The sequence below is a fragment of the Homo sapiens genome, chromosome 1 (assembly GCF_000001405.40).
Source record: "Homo sapiens chromosome 1, GRCh38.p14 Primary Assembly".
Lineage (NCBI taxonomy): Eukaryota > Metazoa > Chordata > Mammalia > Primates > Hominidae > Homo > Homo sapiens.
In genome coordinates this window covers 119,268,135-119,289,533 of record NC_000001.11, presented here as the reverse complement: position 1 = coordinate 119,289,533, position 21,399 = coordinate 119,268,135, and the positions used below count along the sequence as shown (strand labels likewise).

The window sequence follows — 21,399 nt, the reverse complement described above, 5'->3', positions numbered from 1 at the left end:
AAGATCTCTTTTCCAGGAAAAAAGAAAGTGGGATGACTAGGTACGTTAGTCCATTCTCATGCTGCTAATAAAGACATACCTAAGACTGTGTAATTTATAAAGGAAAGAGGCTTAATTGACTCACAGTTCAGCATGGCTGGGGAGGCCTCAGGAAACTTACAGTCATGGCAGAAGGGGAAGCAAACTTGTCCTTCTTCACAAGGTGGCAGAAAGGAGAAGTGCCCAGCAAAAGGTGGAAAAGCTCCTTATAAAACCATCAGATCGTGTTAGAACTCACTATCACGAGAACAGCAGCATGAGGGTAACTGCCCAACGATTCAATTACCTCCCACCAGGTCCCTCCCACTACATGAGGGGATAATGGGAACTACAATTCAAGATGAGATTTTGTTGGGGACACAGCCAAACCATATCACTAGTGGACTGTTATTTAGTTTGGGTCTGGGTTCCCACACTTCTTCTGCTACACCAACCAGCTATGTGACCTTGAGCAAGTCATTTAAATTCTTTCTCTTTCCGGCCTTCAGTCCTATGAGATAAATATAGTAGCTGCTCCAGCTTCCATACTGGTACATTCTGAAGTGATGACTCCCCACCGTCACCTTCTTCATTCAGTCCTCCTCTTCTCACACGTGGTTCATTCTACTCCCTGACCCCCAGCAGTCAGCCCTGTGCCAAGTGTGTCCTTGGTCCAACCTCCTACACCTATGGCCACAGCATTTTTCTAAGCATACATCTAGTCATGTTTCTTACTACAAAAACCTTATGAAAATACTTTATTTATTTATTTTTTTAAGAGACAGGGTCTATCTCTGTCACCCAGGCTAGAGTGCCATGGCATGATTATAGCTCACTGTAACCTCAAACTCCTGGAATCAAGGGATTCTCCTGCCTCAGCTTCCCAAATAGCTGGGACTAGAGGTGCACACCACTGCACCTGGCTAATTTTTAAATTTTTTGTAGAGACAGGGTCTCATTATGTTGCCAGTCTGGTCTTGAACTTTTGGACTCAAGGGATCTTCCTGCCTCAGCCTCCCAAAGTGCTGTGATTACAGGTGTGAGTCACTGTGCCTGGGCTTTTAAAAAATATATTTCTTTTGAAAAATGTTTATTTTTGTAGAGATAGAGTCTATGTTGCTCAGGCTGGACTCAAACTCTTGGCCTCAAGTGATCTTCCCACCTCTGTCTCACAAAGTGCTGGGATTACAGGGTAAGCCACCATCTCTGGACATGATAATACTCCCTTAATGGCTTCTAGCTGTTCATGAAATAAAGATTAAACTGCTTAGCTTGACCTTCAATGTCCCCTAACCGTGCCCCTGTCTAACTTCATTTCTCACCACTTCTACCCTCATCTTCATCCTCAGGGTATCTTGGCACTGCTTTAGTTTCTCTACCTTAGGATCTTTGTACATGCTGTTCCGTCTGGAATGCTTTCCTCCATCTGACCCTGTCCACCTCCTCTTTGCCTAATAACTAACTTCTTTTCCTTTACATCTCAGCTGAAATGGTCCTTCCTCCAGGAAGGCCTTCCCTGAACATTCCATGCCCAACTTGATCAGCCCCCCATTACATTCCTTCATAGATGCCTACACTTTTACTTCCTAGAACTTGCTGCCATTTATAAATATATACTCATATGATTTTATTGATTAATGTCTATTTTTTCTCTACTAGAATGCATGTTGCCTAAAGTCAAGAACTATGTCTGTTTTGCTCACTATTTTCTTCCCAGGGCTTATTATGGTGCCAATTGCTCAATATATATTTGTTGGTAGAATAAAAGGAAAGATGGGTGGATGACAGATAAATGCAAAGGAGAAATATGTGACCTTTCCTATCCTGGCCTGATTTGCCTTTCCCAGCTCCATTTCCCATACTCTCTGCCTTGATTTTTCAAGGTTCCTCTATGTCTCTTGCATTCCAGTCACCTAAAGCTACTAAACTATTATTAAGATGACACTGTGTTTACTGCCTCTGCTGCTGTTTAGCAAGACAAAAATGCCTTGATATGTTATATCAGTTGTTGCTATGAAGATGATTCTAGTGTCACAATAAAAACAGAATTATAGTCTGTTTAAGGGAACAACCAATAAATAAGGAAGAGATTTTGGTTTAGAAAACCGAAGACACCCAGGAGCAATGGTGGCTGTTTGAATGCTTGAAGGACTGTTATTAAGATGACTAGACTAATTCCCTACAATATAGAGATTAGACCCAGAAACAAAAAGTGGAAGATACAGGGAAACAAATTTTGGCTTGATAGAAAGCAAGAATTGTGTGATAAACATATGTGGCAGAAAAGGAAATGGGTTGCTTCGAGTGCTGGTGACTCCATATACCTAGAGGTGCTTCAGCTGAGGTTAGATGGTCACTTTGAGATAGTTGGATTTGCTCATCTCCAGGTCTGCTTACACACATTCTGCCTGTGGAGTGATGTTTCTATTAAACCAGCATCTGAACCGGACACTACAAGAAATCTAGAGATGGCGGTAGGACCCAATCAGTAACTTAAATACTGAGGCCTTTTACTTCAAAATTTTACAAAGGGCTTAGATAAAATTGAGAAGTAATCTCTGGGCAGGCGGAAACCAATATAGACTCATGACATTACAGAATGCTCTCTCCTTTTTTTTTCCTTTTTAACCTATCAAGGAACCCAGTTCTCATGCGAAGGTTACACATGCTTCCAGACAACTCAGCACGCATCTTTTTCAAAGATTTTGGCTCCACCTAGTGGTTTGACTAGGTGTTTTGCACACCGTGGGTTCAGGGGTGGGGCTGTAGTGGAGGGTCGGGGGACCTCCTGTTGCTGGAATAGGTTTCCATACTCCTTGACTGGATCCTTCTCCCCAGTCTTGCTCTGTTGATTAAGAACTAGTTGACTGGAGTTGGTGATAGTACCACTCCACTTTGCACCTCTAAGAGGTTTGTCCTCCAGGTCCGTATTAACCCACATGGTATTAGCAAGGAAAAAACTTTAGAGGTCATTTTTTCTACTTACTGCTCCTCAAACTATGCCTTATGGAGACCAAAGTGTTCCAGAGAGGTGTTTTGGGAGTCATTGCAGGGTGTGAAGTAAGAAAGGCTGAGCTGTAGGCCAGGCGCGGTGTCTCAGGCCTGCAATCCAAGTGCTTTGGGAGGCCGAGGCGGGTGGATCACTTGAGGTCAGGAGTTCAAGACCAGCCTGGCCAACATGGTGAAACCTCCATCTCTACTAAAAATACAAAAAATAGCCAGGTGCAGTGGCATGCACCTGTAGTCCCAGCTACTCAGGAGGCTGAGGCAGAAGAATCGCTTGAATCTGGGAGACAGAGATTGCTTTGAGCCAAGATCACACTGCACTGCAGCCTGGGAGACAGAGCCAGACTCCATCTTAAAAAAAAAAAAAGCTGAGCTGTCAGGGATGGTAACATGGTTACCATGTTTTTCTGCTCCACTTCAGAATAAATTGAACTAAAATCTTTTCCATCTTGATAACATTTTTATTAGAGTAAACAGTTTAAGAAATGTTGAGCCAGGTGTGTCCAATATGCCTGTGTATGGTTTTATTCCTCAATAATAGAGGGTATTCTTAGAATATAATCATGTAAGATATAAAGGGATAATAGGAAAAAGGAAGTAAGTGTTCTAGGTCAGTACTCTATAGTTGCTTTACTGTTGATGTTATAGGACCAACAGTTTCATATGCCCCCTGTGCAGTAACAGATTAAATACGCTGAGACAGCAGGATTTGCAGTAGAAAAAGAGTTTAACGATCTCAGGGCACTGCACAAGGAGGTGGAAGGAGACTCTGAAATCCATCTCCATGAGGAGTCCTTGGCTAGGGTTTTAAGGGGATTATGGAGGGTGAGGGGCTGGAAACTTGAGGCTGTTGATTGGTTGGGGCAAGCAGGGATGAAAACATTAGGATGTGGAAACTGCCTTGTTTGGTGAGTCAGCTCCTCTTGGGATCCTTCAGACCAGCTGAGTCAGTAGTTTCATCAGTACACAGAAACTGAAGGAATATCTCAACTGGAAAATGTAATGTTTCATAATATTCAAGTCATTATCTATAGAACAGTTCAGGAGAACTATAATCTAGGGTCTACCTGATTCTAGCACAGTAGGCACCAAACAACTGTAAGGAAGCAGGTCCGAGAGCAGGCTTCCCTCATGAGTAATGCGGAATGTGCTGCAAGCTTGTTTATTTTTGTTTATCTCCCTCCCTTCTTCCCTGATTAATTTTATAAAGTTTATAGGGAAGATTTCAGTGATTGAACACCAATAATGTAATGCTTTTATATTTAATAATAAACTATTAACAATTATCTTTGGGTTTTGGTCTCACTACTCAGGAGGCTCCTAATCCAAGTACATTTAGCCAAATGTCACCCAGATTTCCTATGCTAGTGTCCAAATCAGCACCTCAACTTGTCATTAATCACAGGCAAAGAAGTCTATAGAAGGTGATGACAATTATTACAATGAATGGTGTAGTGAAAATGTGTATTTCAGTTATTTATTTATTTATTTATTGTATGTTAACTGTGAATTGTAACTGAAAGAAGGTATGGAGCACAAAATTCCTGCCCAGTGAGGAGAATTTCATGATAATTCTTTGACTACATAAGAAATAAGCAGATTTCATGGTTCTCTGGGGAGACTAAGAACACATAGTTTGAGGAGAACACACAGAAGCACTTTCTCATAATCAACATAACTCCTTGGAAGATTTTATTTCTGCACTATGATCATATGAGATTAGATATTAGATACATCTTAAAAGTCATTCCTAGGTTTTGAAGAATTTCAGACACGTAGATTCTCAAGTCCAATTTTCACCATTGCTAAAGTGCAGCCCTTAAGTTATCTACAAAAGACTGTGAAAACTTGAATCATATAGATTATATACAGGTCAAAAATCACTGGGCTGTGGCTCAGCTTGACCTATGTAGATCCAGTGTACTTCACAATTTAAGATCTGAATCAAAAGCACATGTATTTTTAGCATATATTTTTATTAGGGTGACAATGGTTTTGACAACTGTATTCTCCTAAATTTTTACTTGGTGGTTGAATACCATGGAAACTTTAGAAAACCTGTACTGATAAGCTGTGGAGGTACCCCATTTCAAATACCAGGGCAAGAAAATTGATGGTATCTTAAGGGTTGATGCCTTTTGAAAATTAGTTAGGCTAGAGGGAGAGAAAGAGAGAGAATCCTCTAATGCTCATATCAATTATTGGAATGATATGCTTCAAAGTAATACCTGCACCGCTGTTAACCCCTTCTCAGCAACTTGCTTTATGTAGTCCTTCTTGAATACTATGTACTATGGAATCCAAGCTTGTTACATCATATCTTATTGTGCAGCACACATAGAAGGGTCTTTTGTGAACTAATGCTGGGATAGATCACTAAATGCCAAATTGCTCCTGTAATTAGAGATGAGGTTTTTTGGCTAATTTCAAGTGGTCATTCTACCTGATCTTCTTTGGGAACCAGAAGACAAATTGGACCAATTATTTGCATTGTATCAGAATTCTTCTGATCAAAGATTCCAGAGACACAGATCTTTATTGGATATGGACTGTCAGCTTGAGTGGCTTTAACCAGAGTGAGGACTCAACTGTCTTCCTGAGATAGCTGAGTGCTGGTGGCTTGGGCTGGGCATGGGCTCTACCTCTTCACTTGAGAAGTCTTTTTTATTTTATTTTTTGAGATGGAGTCTTGTGCTATAATCTGTAGAGCTACAGAGCACACTTCAGTGGGAAAAGAGGAAGAAGAAAGAGGAATAATGGTTAAGCACAAAGAGAGAGATTGATTCTAAAAACCAGAGTAAAATTGGGAACAGAGTGAGGGGTAAGATGTATTTAAGAAATTCTGCTGTATAAATCCTGGTATAACCTGACAATTTGGAGTTGTCACATATAATCAAGTCTCTATTGGCTCTGAGACCAGATAACTAACTTGCAGTAAAATATCCATCTTTCTTTAATATCATCCTTCAAATCTCAGTGTCCTTATCTGTAAAATAGGAATTTTAATATCTTTCATTCAGGGATATTAGGTGGATTAAATTGAATACTGCAGGTGAGCTGTTAAGCACTCTACAAGTACTCTTTGATGTGACCTGAAATATATCTTCAGAAACATTTTGTTTTTGTGAAGATCTACATTATGGATGGAAAATAAGTTTCAACTTGAATGTTAAGTTCAGTAGTTGGGAGTGGCAGTCTGAGCACAGTGCTGAAAAATCTTTGTTTCTTAAGTTTTCTTTGAGCATTCATTCATAGACTTATGCTATCTGTGAAGCTCTCAAATTAATAAACTTTTGTAATATTTGTAAAGCAACGCAGCTTTTATGGCTGTTTGTAAACATTTGCCCCATCCACCATGGGTGCCATAATGATATCATTGACCACATGAAAACCAGAAGAAAAATATGCTGAGATTCTCTCCCATCTACTGTAAACATAGAAGTATTCAAGCATGTTATTCAACAAGTGGAGCCCTTTCCAAAATTTCAGATCTGAAGATCTTAGCAAATTAAAATTATTAAAAAACCCAGCTTGCCAGCAGGAATATATTGAAAGTATCATCACGTTCAAATTAACCATACAATGCAAATTTAAAGCATATGAAGCCAATATAATCTGAAAAGTCTTTGAGGGACAACTCTTAGTACCATAGGAAAAAGCTCTGTGATCAATTAGCAATGTCTGTAATGGGTATGGGAGGGTTGAGTCACAATATAGATGTTAAGTGTTTCCTATCCAGAATTTAGATGACTAAATATCTAATGTGAAAACTCAAGCCTCTTTGGAGCTGAGGTTTTCATTTTATAGTTAGCATATCTATACCATTATTATATGTATATAATTTATAATTTCAGATTTTTTAAGAGGTCTAAGATTGTATTGATAATGACTATTGCAGATATCTTTCTATAGGGCTCCTGGAATGAGCATTTTGCCATGAACTGTGTATACTAATTTCTACTGAACTAATAATACTGAACTTTCAAATACTTGCCCTTTAGTGGTATTTTACTAATGACACCCATCATGATTTGATCATAGTTTAAGCATATATTTAATGACACTCTATCAATGGTAACATAATTCAAGTGCTATGTAGTTTGTGTAAAAGAAAACATGTTAGGCATAGATTTATTTTCTTTGAAATATTCCTGGTTAAGTACCTTCCCCTCCCTGTAACACTCCTGACCATAGTTTTCCTGCCTCTCTGGAGCAAGGCCCAATGAACAAAGGTGACGTGAGATTATTCCCATCTGAATGGCAAATGATGGTTACAGTGAACAGGCTTTTAGAAAAGGGAATTCCAAGTACTGAACTGAGAGCGCAAGAGGACTTCTTTGATTCACAAGGATTGGGTGAACTCTGCTACCTAACATAGCTTAGGTGTTAGGTGCCACTGTAGGTGGCAATAGGTCCAGAAAAGCACCCCATGGAGTGCTTAGGTGACAGTGCACATCTCTTTCATTGAAGCTCATGAAAACAGGATGATTTTACTGCTTTGCATTTCACATTTGGTACATTTAATGTTTTCGCCTTCTGCCCAAGCTATTTCATTATCATCATTATCAAGACTTTTGATAATCCTCCCCATTATCATGGGAAGTATTTATTATGCATCTATTTCTATTCTGCTAGGCTTACCACAATGTGGGCTGGAGCTCATGGCTTTCCATAGTATCTGGCCTCCACCACACAGCAACAAAGCCATTTAACAACTATTAGAAATTAATATAATTCAGTCACTGGCAGACTGAGAGAGATAAAAATTGGAGATAAAAAATGGGCCCTGTAATGCACAGGTGAGATAAAGTATGTGGTTAAAAAAAAGTAAGTGAATACCATGCCAAATCCTACCCATCCTATAAAGCCTACTCAAATGCATCCTTCTCTAAGAAGCTCACCCATAGAACTTGCTTTACAAAAGCACATTTTTTGGTACTTCTTGAATTCTGTGCCTTTTATGCACATCTTATTTTCTGCTCTCTGAACTCACTGAGGAACATGTCACATATCATGAACATGTTTCATGATACCTAGCACAATGCATGAAATATTCAACAAAGTTTGATGAATGAGAAAGCAAATCAACAAACTCTGTCAAAAAACGTGTTGAATGCCTAAGCACTATGCAAAGCATTGGGGGTATAATGATGAACAAGACAGCCAAGGCCCCTGCCTTCAGCAAGCTCACAATCTAATAGGGAAGGAAGCCCAAGAACTCAACAGGCAATTACTTTAACATGGTATGTACATTGATGTGATTGAATGATATAGAAAAGAGGAAAAGTCATACTTTCTAGCCTGCCAAGTATCTTATGATTCAATATTAAATTTCCCTTTCTCTATTTAGAGCACAAGCGGCAAATTCAAATGTTTTCATGAGCCAGGTAGGTAATATCAAGTAAGACAATAGTGGGGAGTGGGGACTTTAGTGACCTGGAGAGTTTATGCTCCACTTCTAGGATGGAGGAGCTACTCAGCTTCAGCCAATTGTATCATGGAAGCCTGAACGTTGATTCAGTGTTGCCAGATCTAATTTTCTTCTAGGAAGCAAGCAATTTGGATTTTTATGTGAAATCTTCTGATTTTTAAATGTTGGCAACCAATTTTCTATTTTGTGGCTTAGATGTGACCTGAGAACTACCATTGACTGCCTCCAATTCAGGGCTTCCATAGAGTGGTGCCCCTTATGAGGAGCCCACACGCCATGCCTCCCCTGTATGGGTCCCAGAGCCCAGGCTATCAACTCTCCACCTCTCAGCCCTCTCTCTTCTCCTCGTCTTCCTTTCACACCCTATTCCAGTAAGTGTGAAGGGCTCTCAAGCTAAATCAGTTAGGGAAGGGCTGACATCTACAGTTTGTGGGAAAATAGTTTAACCTTTATGAAAAGTCAGAGGTACAGGGCCCCTGGGAGTTGGGGATGTGAGTGGGATGGAAGAGCCTAGTGGGGAACTCTCCCAAGCTTCTTGCATTATGGGCAATGCTCTCCTTTAAAAAGCATTAACAAAGGTCAGATTAACAAGTCAACACTGAAACTGTATCCAAACAAGTCTCCCTAATTGTAGGGAGAAAGCAGAGAAGGGGCTAGTGGAAAAAGTCCAGAGGACAAGACTGACTCCAAAGCCTTTCCCTCTCCATCCACTGGCAGGCTTGGGGCATATTCGATAAGGTGAAGGGAAATTGCAAAATTAGAACTGGCAACTTATACAGAGAGGCCTAGTGCAAGGCCATGGGCCTGAGGCAGGCTCAGAAAGTTGAGGAATTGTGGGGGAAAGAGGATTTGGCAGCCTGACTTCCTGTGGCTGTATCCAAGGCTAATTAGCTTGCAGTGTTCTGTGTGTGCCTGAATGGAAATGATCCCAGTCTTGAGAGGCAGGGGGGTAAGGAAATCAAAAACACATGCAGAAAGAAAGAAGGGGAAGGGATTGGTGGGAGAGGAAGGCCAGGGGTTGTGGGGGGCCGGGGGGAACCTGTCCTTTGGCTACATTTTCTTTTTTCAGGAGAGGGCTCTCATCATTCTGTTTCATGACCAGTAAATCACCACCACAGCCCTGTCCATCACATCTCACATCTGCTGCAGAACTCGTTAAACATCAAAAGACAGGCCTATCAGTTCTGCTTAGTTAGAAGTCTGACTTACTAGAGGTCTAACCAAGGAGGAGTTTGCATGTTTTTAATAATAGCTTAAGGAACTTCGTAGCACCCCATAAATTACTTAATGCAACAAACTCTTCCTGTAGTCCAGCTGGCATTTGAAAGTTGCTGAACCAACCCAGACCTGCCCCTATGGCAATGACTTTTTGGTGGTCACATTCCAGGACACCACAGGGTGTTAGTTAATGCTTTAATTCATAATTCTGAGCCCGTTATTAAAAATGAGTTACGTTGCTGTGTATGTCCTCCCTGGAATGCATGACTCACAATTCCTTTGCCTTTGTCTTTCTGACTCACTGTCTAAAGAGGTAACCTGGCCAGGCTATTCCATATGTGTGCTGTGTTATCACGTTGCCGGGCACCTCAGAGCAAAAAGAAATGGTCTAGTAGAGAAATGGATCAATAACTAGGGGCAATAAAATCAGAACCTTGTCCCAAACTTGAAGGTACATGCTCGACAGATATATTAATATAAATCAGTAAATATTTACCGAGTGCTTACTCTGTGCTAGAAACGAGACATACAAAAACAAATTCTGACATTCTGACTCCTTTTAAAGAGTCCACAATATTGTGGACACATATGAACACTCTGAGGTTTAAAAAACAAACTAACACAAATGGAAGGATAATATTATTCCACCAGTAACCCTTTAGAAGTTCCTTGGGTGTTGGTGCATTTTGCTGTCGCTGTTTGAAGCTAACCTCCTAGGTCTCCAGCCCCTGTGAGGGACACAGTCTGAGTAAAACCCACAACATCTGCTCAAGAGAAGCTTCAAAGAAGCACAATGCTTGGAATCATATCTTCTCTAAGAAAATGTAGGGTCAAAAACTCAACCCAGACCTCCTGACTTCATTTTTTCTACCCATTTGACAAGGCCACAAAAGAAATCTTTAAGCACCTATCTAAGTAATATTTCCTCTACACAACAGTCTATATGGCATGAGGCTAATATTCAGACAAAAATCAAGGGAATACACATCATACTACTAATTTATTATTTATGGCATTCTTGCATTGTGCCAGGAATTGAGCCATGCTGATAAATATTATTAGAACATAATCCCTCATTTCATAGACCTTCCCTTCATGTCAAGAGACAAAGTCCACCACAGTAAGAGAAATGACCAAAGTGTGCAGAGGATTCTATGGTAGCAGGAGAAGGTACTCAACTCAGACATGAGTACTGGTACTAAGGTACTGAGGACAGAAGGCTTTCTTAGCAAAGATGGTGTGTTAAACTGAGTCTCAAAGAAGCAATTAGCCAGAGGTAGGAGATGGGACATTCTAGGAATTCTAGTATCAGTGGTGTAGCTGTTTGCAATGATCTGTCTCCCAAACCCTCAGATGGTCTCATTATCATTGTCTTCACTAGAAAATTAATGAACAATTGCTTTGTGCAGAAGCTGTAGAAACTGTACTAGGTATTATAGATTCAACAATGTTTTCTATCCTTCTGTGACACACAGCTTAGGAGTGATTAGACAGCATGGATGGATGGATAGATATAGAGACAGACAGATGATGGCAATACCCAACCTGTACTTTACTTTTGTGTGGCAGTACCAGTTCTAAGGAGCTTCACAGTGGGCTTCATTTACCCTCACTGTCCTGAGATGGAGGTAGGGAAGACATTGCTTAATCCATTTTGAAAAAGAATAGATTCCTAGGCTAACGAATAGTGCAGATGACCAGTGCACATGCCTGATTACTTGAAAGGAAGTCAAGGGAGGAAAAACATCAAGGGAGGAAAAACATGGGTAAAGGGGGTAGATGTTCTGAAGGGAAGCAGATGAACTGGCCAAGCTGAGATGGGAAGAGAAAGCCATTGCTCTGAGCACCTGGAGCAGGTGCAGGTTCTCAGTTTTGGCAGCAAACTCACCTCTGGCTGAAGCAGCACCTCCATGAAGACCTAGAGGCTAGGCTGAAGGTGCTGTGGACATACCATTAACAGGAAGGCTGAAAAACACATAAAGTAGGAGTGACCTAGGAGAGTCTTCCCTGAGTTGGCCCTTTACAATATGTTTGACCACTTGAGCACCAGCTCTGTGGGGGTCAGCATGGTCTGGGGCTGGGATTATCACTATGATGACTCTTCTTCCACCCCTTCTCTCCATCTCTAAATGCTGCATCCCCCTGGGCTTAAGTCTAGATTCTGTTTAAGTGCCTCTTCCTTAATTTCACAACTAGGTTTAGAGGCTCAACTGAACTACCATTTGTCACAAGGTATTGGAACTCAGAGTGTCTCTGTCTCTCCTACTAGTCTGTGGGCCTTCGAGGGTAAGGATCATGTTCCTATAGTGTCAGCACTTACTACAGAGACTAGCAAATAGTAAGTATGCAATGAAATTTGTTGAATAACTAAATAAATGAATGGGTTTATGTACATAAGAATATCACCAGATCCCCCAGACCATGACATCTGTGGTTTCTATATAAAGAATCCAGTTCCTAGGGCATACGGGATTTTTTTTTTTTTTTTAATCTAGAAGCGCTTCTACTCAGAAACAGTCTTATTTCCAAACACTATTTATGATGGTCTTAATTTTCTTCTTTTTTTTTTTTTTTTAGAAAGAGTGTCTTACTCTGTTACCTAGGCAGCTGGAGTGCAGTGATCACAGCTCACGGCAGCCTTGAACTCCAGGGCTCAAGCAATCCTACTGCCTCAGCTTCCCAAGTAGCTGCAACTACAGGCACATGCCACCATACTCAGCTAAGTTTTTTTTTTTTTAATTTTTTGTAGAAATGGGGTCTCATTTTGTTGCCCAGGCTGGTCTTGAATGCCTGGCCTCAAGCCATCCTCCTGCCTCTGCTTCCCAAACTGTAGGATTACAGGTATGAGCCACCGCATCTAGCCTGTGATTGTCTTTTTGTTGTGTCAACTTGGATAGACTACAGTCTCTGGTTACAGAATCAAATACAAATCTAGGTGTTATTGTGAATGGAATTTTTAAATGTAATTTAAGACTATAATTAGTAGACTTTAACAAAGGGAGCGTATCCTAGATAATCCAGGTGAGCCCAATTTAATCAGCTGAAAGGCCTTAATAGCAGAGCTGAGGCTTCCCTGAAGAGGAAGAAATTCCACCTGCAGATGGCAGCTTCCACCTGTGCCTGACAGTTCCAGTCTGCCCTCCTGAGTGCCTGCCCTACAGACTTCAGACTTGCCTAGCCATCCCCCACAATCACATAAGCCAATTCTTTGTAATAAATCTCTTAATATTTATGTCCTATTCATTCTACTTCTCTAATTGGATCCTGACTGATACACTATAAATTCAAAGTGTCTTAGAGAGGCTGAGCTTGCAGTTTCCCAGTGTACTTTCAGTAAATAACAGAATGTCAAACTTTCAGAGCTTTAAATCAGACATACTCTTATTCCTGCTGATACATTCTACCAAGCATCTTTTCCTAACATGGACCAGTTAAATGTCTTATTTTTCTTTTTTTTTCTCCAAGAAATAGCGTCACTTGCCAAAGATGTTTTAAGTTCATTAATTTAACCCTTCTCCCCAGCCATTTCTGCAGGTGTGGTAGAGAATAGACCTCCTTAGAAGTTATGGTTAGTGTCAGACTGGGCTGCCTTGCCACCTTGAAGTAGCGTAGATTTGAGAGTATAGATTGTCTTTCAGATTACAGAACTAGTCCCTGACTTACTCCAGAAGTTAAGTAGCAGAGCTTTTACCATGCTTAGTTCCAAATTCTAGAACAACCCCCAGCCTTCTCCAAAGTTAAAAACAGTCTAATTGACAGTGGTTGATTTTGGCTGGCTGGGTGATGATGAAAGAAAGGAGAGCACTTGCATAGTTTATGGTGAAGATAAAGCACATATCAGGCATTGTAATTATCTAGCCGCACACTATAAACTTTTCCATTTCATTCATTTCCGTATCTCTTGCTCTTTATTGTCAGTTGCAGAGGCACAACACTTTTCTCAGGATTCATGATCAACTCTGCCCTTTGGAATTGTTCCTACTGTCTAAAAATTAATTCCACATGCATGTACAAACTTACATTTTATTTTCTCACTGCCTTCTGATTTTAAAAATGGTTCTACTTTCATTTTGTCATAATTATGCTCCTTTTTTAAGTAACACTTTTAATATTATTGCTACTTTTGCACTTCTCAGATATGTGGAGTCAAAAATGTTTCTAGAACATTTCAAAATCATGCACAAATGCAGCAAATTACCAAGTATTAAGGAGTAAGTGGTTGGCAGAGACCTAAATGGCAGGGCATTGGACAATAGCGCCATCTGTTGGTTGTGGATAGAGCTGGCTTCTCTCTATTCGGTCTTTATTCTTAGGTATAAAGGGTAATTTCCTGTGATAGTTCCTAGGAGGAGGAGCTTCTGTCATGATTTCACACACCCTTGACGTACTTTCTTTCTGTGAATGTTAGAAGCCTTTAATAGTAAGGGTCACTTTGGTCCCAAGTGGTCAGGCTGGGCCTTTGGAAGGCCAGGTGAGCCCACACAGGGAGTTCTGCGTGAGCCCCTCATTGCTCCTATACCAGTGCCACAGCTGTTTTCCAGTGAGAGCCATTACCTAGATTACAGGTTCTATACTCTGGCTGCACCTCAGAACCTCTGGGTTGTGGCATAGGCTTTGTGATTTTTTCAAAGTTTGCCAGTTGATTCCAATGTATAGCTAGGGCTGAAAAACACCTAAAGGAAGAGAAAGACATGGAAGAATTAACATTCTACACATTTGTTAAGATCTCCATTTTCCTCATGCCAGCATCCACTCTTTTCAGCCAAAGCACTGTTTACCAAATGTATCCCAAGGAGATATTAGAAACAAACAGGTTTCATGATTTTTCCAAGATCAGCCGATACTTCTGTGGCAGGTCCAGGTCTGGAACCTGGCACCCAGAGACCTAAGCCACAAGAGCTGTGAGCTGAAAGCCATCAAGTGTCCCAGTTTATAATTGTGTCCTCATCTGTAAATGGATGGCTTTAGACCTGAGTTTCCTTTTCCTGGAAAGATAAAGCCACCAGAGGTGAACTTCATTCTTCTTTTAGAGAAAGGAGGAAACAGGACGACTTTTGCAGCCTAATGTGACAAGGCAGCTTTCTACCATCTCAAGAGAGACCATAGCTCTTGGCTACGGTTGCCTGCAAGCCCAAGAATGGGACACAGGAAGCTGAATGAAAAATCCTCCTATCTTAGAAGCTTCCCAGGAATTTCATTAGGGCTGTTTATCATGAAAAGTTGTTTAAGATTTAGGGATACCTCAATATGTGTTCTAACGTGGAAAACAGACCTTTCTTTACTCAGTGGAAGAAAATATTGAATTGACAAATGTATTTACAAGACATTTCTGTGCCAACAGGTCACTCTCTACATTTCCTGATATATCATCTCCTGACACATTCTTTCAGAATTTTATGACTATTAGGATCTAAGATTGGATGGAACTAGGATTGGATCCAGTTCAGCAGTTCCTTAGACCAGGAAAATAGCCCCAGCTGTCAAGTAGCTCTAAGCAAATGACTTTAATCTTCCTAAACTTGAGTCTGTATCAGCAATAAATGGAGTTATTGTTATAATCAAATAACAGAGAGCACAAGAAAGGTTTGTAAACTATAATGTGCCATATAAAGCTCAAGCAATATGATGAGGACTGTTTTTCACTCTCCAAAGGGAATCTTTCCTCCAACCAAGTCCCCTCTTTGTCAATCACAGTGAGTGGAATATGCTTGGCCCCACCCTCTCCAAGACTGTCCCTGTGTCCCCATCTTACCCTCTCATCCTGTCCAAATCCTGCCATTATTCCACACCCAAATCAATTTTACCAAGTTCAAGAAAACACTTTCTGACCAATATAGTTCAGTGATTTCTCCCTTCTCTAAATTTCTGTAGCATTTTACAATTGATGCCAAAGAATGTATAAATTCAGATGATTTGCCTTGCCTCCTGTTCTTTCATCTATGTCCTTTCTGTCTCCATAACCTTTTTTAATACACCTTTTATAGAATCAAAACACACATACAGAAAATATGCATGTAGCACAAAATAACCCATGCAAGCACCACCCAGATCACTCACCTACAGAACCCTGTCAGCATCTGAGAAGCCCTTCTTGGGCACCTTTCCAACCACTGTCTCCACTCTCCTTCCAAAAGATGCCCACTCTGCTGACTGCTAATACCATACATTAGTTTCACCTGCTTTTGAGTTTTCTATAAAGTGTGTATTATTTGATGTCTAGCTTCTTTTGCTCAACTTTACACTTGTGATAATCATCCATGTTGTTGTACGTGGCAGCAGTGTCTTCATTTTAATTAATTTGCCATTTCATGGATATATCACAGTTTATCTCTCCATTCTATTGTCTGAGGACATTTGAATTGTTTTTAATTTGGCTATTTTAAATAATGCTGTTATGGACATTCTTATGTTTGGCTTTTAGTAAACACTTGTATGCATTTCTTCTGGGCATATATCTAGGAATAGAACTAGTGGGTCATAGGGTGGGCATATGTTCAACTTCAGTATATACTAACAGTTTCTCAACGTGGTGATTGCACCAATTTACACTCCCAATAGTAACGTATGTGTGTTCCATTACTCTATAGCTTCACAAATACCTGGTATTTTCAGTCTTTTAAATGTTAGCCACGTTGTTGATATACCATATATTTCACTGTAATTTTAATTTGCTTTTTCCTGATAGCTAATGAGGTTGAGCACTTTAAAAAAATGCTTATTGGCAATGTGGATATTCTGTTTTGTGAAGAAAATAGCATCCAATTTTTACTAGGTTTTCTGACTTTTTAAATTGTGAAAAATTTATATGAAATGTCATTTTATATATAATATTTTTATACATACATTTTCTTCCATTCTATAACTTTCTTTTCCTTCTCATAATGGTGTCTTTTATAAACAGAAAATGCCAATATTTTAATTTTTTTTAGGAATGTTATTTCTTATTTAAGAAATCCTTGCCTGCTCCAGGCATACAAAATATCATTCTATGTTATTTTTTAGAAACTTTACTATTTTACATATCATTTTTTGATCTAAAATCACCTGGAAATGATTTTTTTTCTTTTTCTTTTATTTTTTTTAAGAGACGGAATCTCACCCTGTCGCCCAGGCTGGAGTGCATGGAGTGCAGTGACACAATTTTGACTCACTGCAACCTCTGCCTCCTGGGTTCAAGCAGTTCTCCTGCCTCAGTCTCCCAAGTAGCTGGGAATACAGGTGCACACTGCCATGCCTGGCTAGTTTTTTTTTGTATTTTTTAGTAGAGACGGGGTTTCACCATCTTGCCCAGGCTGGTCTTGAACTCCTGAGCTCAGGTGATCTGCCCACCTTGGCCTCCCAAAGTGCTAGGATTACAGGGGCGAGCCACTGCGCCTGGCCCTGGAATTGGTTCTTTACATAACGTATGGACAGGAGTCAAGATTGTTTTTTCTCATATGGATATCCAATTGACCATTAATTAAAATAGTGTCTTTTTCCCACTGCTCTGCATGGACCAATGGTGTCCATATACGTGTGGGTCTGATTCTAGACTTTCTATTGTGTTCCATTGGTCTATTTGTCTATTTTTGTGCCTCTATTTGCATTGTATTAATTATTTGATAATAATTATTGTATATAATAGGATAAGTGTTCAAACTCTAATCTTCTTAAAGATTCTCTTACCTATTGCTATCATTGTACATTTCTATATGTAATTCCACACAAATTTATCTACTTTTAAAAAGAACATCTGTTGGAATTTTAATTGAGATTGCATTGAATGTATAGATCAATTTGAGGAGACTTAATATTTTTGCACTATTGAGTCTTCCAATCTATGGATCTCCATTTTAGCTCTTCTTTAATTTCTCTAATATTGTTTTATAGTTTTCTGTGTAAGGTAATACATATTTTTCATTATATTTATGCCTAGATATTTGATGTTCTTTTATTCCACTGTATTTTCTTTAAATTTCATTTTCTACTTGTTCGTTGCTACTATACCCTTACTTGATTTTTATTAATTGTCCTTGAATCCAGTGAGTTTACTAAATTGACTTATTAACTTTGGAAGTTTATCTATAAATTCCTTTGGATTTTCTAGGTACAAAATTGTGTTCTGTGTAAATAATACATTTTACTTCTTTCTTCCCAATCCTTATATGCTTTATTTCTTTTCTTTTCCTTATTGTACCATTACAATTTTAACCTCTAGTATCATGTTAATTAGAAGTAATGAAACCAGAGATTCTTGTCTTATTTTTAATTTTGGGAGGAAAATTATATTTCACCATTTAGTATAATATTTATAGTAGATTTTTGGTAGATGCCTTTTATCTTTTCAGCTCCAGAATTTCTATTTGGCACTTTTTAATAACTTCTATTTCTTTGCTGAAATTCCACATCTCTTCATTAATTATAATCATGTTTTTAAAAAAATCTTTGAAAACATTTATATAGCTGCTTTAAAGTCTTTGTTAACCCCAGAATCTGGGTCATGTCAGAGTATGTTTCTATTGACTGCTATTTCTTTTGATTGTATTTTCTTGTCACTGTGTGTGTGTGTAATACTCTTTTATAGTATGCCAGACATTTTGGAGGGAACATTGTAGTGATTGGATACTGTTATCACCCTCTGAAAAATGTTGATTATTTTTTCTCTCAGGCAATTAACTTGGGTGGACTCAAACCCCAAACTCCCTCCCATATGAGAGGAAGTAGCTGAAATCTCTAGTAAGTTCTTTCAGACTTTCACCTGTTGCTTTTCACTGGGCTCCTCAGAGTCTTCCTCATACATACATAGTTTAGGGATCATCCAGATGTTTGGGCAGAGTTTATGTGCACATTTTGGGGTTCTCTCTTAGGCTCCCGCCTTCCTGACACCTCACTCTCTGTTCTGTTAACCCTAACTCCATTTAATGATTCCTTGAACTGCTAAGAATAATGTTCTCTTCTTGAATTCTTGTAGCCCTATATTGTACAGACTGCAGAGTGCCTTCAGACAAAAGGCATATCAAGGCAAATCTCCATAAAAAATGCTATATTGAAGGGATGAATTCCTCTCCAATTTCTGTCTGCTTTTGGCCACTATCCAGTGCCTTCAAGTATTTTTTTATTTCCCTCAAGAATAATTGTTTTCTACAGAAAGGTTTATCTAATACAAGCTACTACAAAATTAATGGAAGTGGAATGTAGTGAAAGGCTTTGAATTATGGATTACACTTCTTTATTAGGTATAAGACTATTCAGATGTCTTATATTTTTCCCCAGCTTTAGTAAATTGTGTTGTTTGAGAAATTTGACTCATCTAAAAGTTCAAATTTTTTGGCATAAAGCTGTTTATAATATCTCACATTATATACTTTTGTAGATTAAGTATTTTGAATTTATATAAAACTGAGGAAGAAACTAGAGAAAATTGCAGGGCATGGTCCAAATTTAAATCCAACAATACTCTTAAAAATATTCTGTATGACATATATATATACTATTTAAATAGTACCTGTGTGACATTTTCTTATATTTTCTTATATTATTCATTTGATTTCAACTTTATAAAACTTAAATGACAAGAATTTTTTAAATTAAAATAGTTTTCAAAATATAAAATGTTTACATACTTAAGAATTTCTATTTTTTCCAAATATTATCATCTATAAGTTAAAATATATTTGAATTACCTCTCTTCATAAGTTATATATCCTAAAAATTGCCTCAGCCTTTTGCTTATTTTTTTTTTTTTTACTAATAAAATATGCTTTTGAAAGTGGCACTCTAATTCAATTATAAATGAACTAGCGTATACTGCCTAAAAAGTAGCCTTCTTATGACATCTAGATTCAGGTTCTGTAGCCAAAAGAAAAAATTTCAAAAAGATGTTGATTTAAAATCAAATAAAAAATTTAAAAGGCTAGTTCTGTGAATTTTAATTCTTAATGTGATCCATGGTAACCTCATCTGGGAAGTAAATTTCACTTGATACTCAACAAGAGAAAGTTTTTGTATGCTTCTCATGTATCCTTTGTTCATTTTCCTTGTCACAGCCTATAATTCAGTTATCACAATGCATCCTTAATTCATTATTTGAAATTTATACTTACTTTTCTACACTTAATATAACCCCATGTTTTCTCTTCCATTCAACAAATATCAATTTCACCATTTCTGTTTTCCATCAAAGGGTGAGGTAAAAATAGGAAAAGTGAGGTTAGATCTGTGTCTTCTTCATTCTAATGAAAAAAACTACTTTACTTTGACATTCTTTTCTTTGTTTTAAAGTCAGGTTTGTTGAGAAACAGTTTGTGTACAGCAAAATCTACCCTTTGTAAATGCAATGAATTTTGAAAAACATACACAGTTCAGTGTCCACCGCCACCATCAAGATAAAGAACATGTATCTTAACCCAAAAATTTCCTCATGCACTTTTGTTGTCAAATTCTTTCCTAAATTCCCAGCCCACAAACAACCACTTAGTTTTTTCTGCCCCATGTTTGCCTTTTCCAGAATGTCTTATAAATGTAATTGTGCAGTATGTAGCTTATTGAGTCTGTTTTTTTTCCATTTATTATAGTGCATTTGAGATTTATTCATGTTGTTGCCAATAGTTTGATTCTATTTTATTGGTGAGTAATATTCCATTGTATGGATGTACCACCACATTTTGTTAATACAATTACTACTTGACGGACACTTGAAATATTTCCAGTTTGTAGTAATATGAATAAGGCCACTATAAACATCTGTGGATGTGTCTTTGTGTGAACATATATTTTCACTTATCAGGCATATATCCAGGAGTGGAATTGCTGAGTCATATAGTAATTGCATTTTAATTTTATAAAAAACAGCCAAACTGTTTTTCAAAGTGGCTGTGCTATTCACATTCCCATCAGCAATGTATGAGAGTTCCAGTTGCTCTTCATTCTTCTCAGCAGCTTTTCTAACAGCTGGTGTCTTGTTTTAATCTGCAATTCTCTATCATTAGTGTTGCTGGACACCATTTCATGTGCATTTTTGCTGTCTGTGTATTGTCTTTGATGAGGCATTTGTTCAAATGCTTTGCCCAGTTTTTAAATTGGATTGTTGTTTTCTCCTTTCGAAAAACAAAAGAAAAAGAAAAAGAAATTGGATTGTTGTTTTCTTATTATTGAGTTGTGAGGGTTCTTCATGTATTCTGGGTATCAGTCCTTTTCCAGATATGTGTTTTAAAAATATTTTCCCCAAACTTATGTCTATATTTGAATGACATTTTCCTAAAACTGTTATTTAAATATGGGTGGCTTTTAAATTTTAATAAAGTCTCATTTATCTATTTTTTTTCATTTATGGAATGTGCCTTTTGTATTCTACCTAATAAATCTCACCTAGCCCAGAGTCACAAAGATTTTCTCCTATATTTTCTTCCAGAATTTTTACACTTGAGTTTTACATTTAGGCCTCTAATCAATTTTCAGTTAATTTTTGCATATAGTTTAATGCATGGGTCAAGATACATTTTTTGCATATAAATGTCCAACTGTTCCAGTATTATTTGATGAAAAGACTATCCTTTCAGCATTGAATTGCCTATGGTGGATTACCTATGTCTGGATTCTCTATGTGTGGATTCTGTACTGATCTTTATCTCTTTCTCAACTCTTGTGTGTGTGTGTGTGTGTGGCAGAGTCTCACTCTGTAGCCCAGGCTGGAGTGCAGTGATGTGATCTAGGCTCACTGCAACCTTTGTCTCCCAGGCTCAAGCGAT

General features: G+C 38.4%; 1 long non-coding RNA gene across 1 annotated transcript in view; it reads right to left on the bottom strand.

The window, feature by feature from the left end:
- Positions 1-13,560: 13,560 nt before the first annotated feature.
- WARS2-AS1 (WARS2 antisense RNA 1) overlaps positions 13,561-21,399 on the bottom strand; it is a 135,578-nt gene continuing 127,739 nt past the window's right edge. The window contains exon 7 of the long non-coding RNA NR_125975.1: positions 13,561-14,346. This is a non-coding gene — a long non-coding RNA (WARS2 antisense RNA 1). The remainder of the gene's footprint in view (positions 14,347-21,399) is intronic.